Raw genomic sequence first — 1540 nt, forward strand, 5'->3', positions numbered from 1 at the left:
TGGATCAAAGATAGCTCAGTTACTACTCTTACCATACTGGGTCCCCAACACTCAGGGAAAGGAAAAGGGAAAGGGAAGTTTTGGAAACATGGGAGCCACAGGAGTATATTAGAACCAATTAATCACTGATCAGAGACCCATGATTACCTTAAAAATTGGAAATAAAAATTTTACTGGCTTATTGTACACAGGGGCAGACATTTCAATCATTAGTGATCAAAACTGGCTGAAAACTTGGCCTTGGGTCACTGAGAAACAAAAAATTGTTAACATCAGGGACATGCACACAGCCAAGCAGAGCACACATCCCCTGACATGTTGCGATTTGGAAGGGAGAAAAGCAGTTATACAACCTCTAGTCATGCCCATCCCTGTTAATCTTTGGGAACGAGACCTATTAGCCCAATGGGGGGTCACTCTGCAGAGCCCTTTTTAATAATGGCCACTGTTGCAATTCCTCCCCTACCCATGATGTGGCTCTCTCAAGATCCAATGTGGGTAGAACAGTGGCTTTTAAAGGGAGATAAATTACAAAGGGACCATGAATTAGTTGAGGAACAATTAAAAGCTGGCCATATAGAGCCATCAAACAGCCCTTGGAATTTGTCCATTTTTGTCATTCCCAAAAAGTCTGGTAAATGGAGACTTTTGCATGACTTACATGCTATCAATGCTAATTTGCAACCTATGGGGCCCCTTCAACAGGGGCTCCCTTCCCCTGTGGTGATTCTTCTAGATTGGTTTGTAGTCATTATTGACTTAAAAGACTGTTTTTATACTATTCCTCTTGCAAAACAGGGCAGGGAAAAATTTGTGTTTACAATACCAGCTATCAATAATGAAAGGTCAGTTTGCCAATTTCATTGGAAAGTACTTCCTCATGGAATGCTGGACAGTCCTACCATGTGTCAGTATCATGTAAATCAGACTTTGCTCCCCAGTAGAAAAGAATTTCCTAATTGCAAGATTATTCATTTTATGGATGATAAATTACTGGCAGCCCCACCAGAGCCAATACTTGTAAGTTTATATGCCTCTGTCAAAAAGAATACACAATTAAGAGGTTTAATCATAGCACCTGAAAAAGTACAGATGTCCTCTCCTTGGAAATATCCTGGATAGATACTAACTTCCCGGTCAGTAAGACCCCAGAAGGTTAAATTAAATACTAACAACTTACACACCTTAAATGATTATCAAAAAACACTAGGTAATATTAACTGGTTTTGCCCCACCTTAGGCATAACTATTTATAGGTTATAAGCCTGTTTTCTATCCTAAAAGGCAATGCAGCCCTAGACTCCCCCAGGTATTTAACCCCTGCAGCACAAAGGGAAATTGAGGAAATAGAGCAAACTATTTCTCAGAGGCAACTAGATAGCATAGGCCCATGATATTCAGTCCAATTATTTGTTTTTCCTACTAAACATTCCTCAACAGGATTAATAGGACAGATGGCCCCTGGGCTGCATTTTCTAGAACAGGTTTTTTGCTCACATATTGGGACTAAAACACTATCTCCCTATATCCAGCTAGTTAG

Source organism: Homo sapiens, chromosome 15, assembly GCF_000001405.40.
Source record: "Homo sapiens chromosome 15, GRCh38.p14 Primary Assembly".
NCBI lineage: Eukaryota > Metazoa > Chordata > Mammalia > Primates > Hominidae > Homo > Homo sapiens.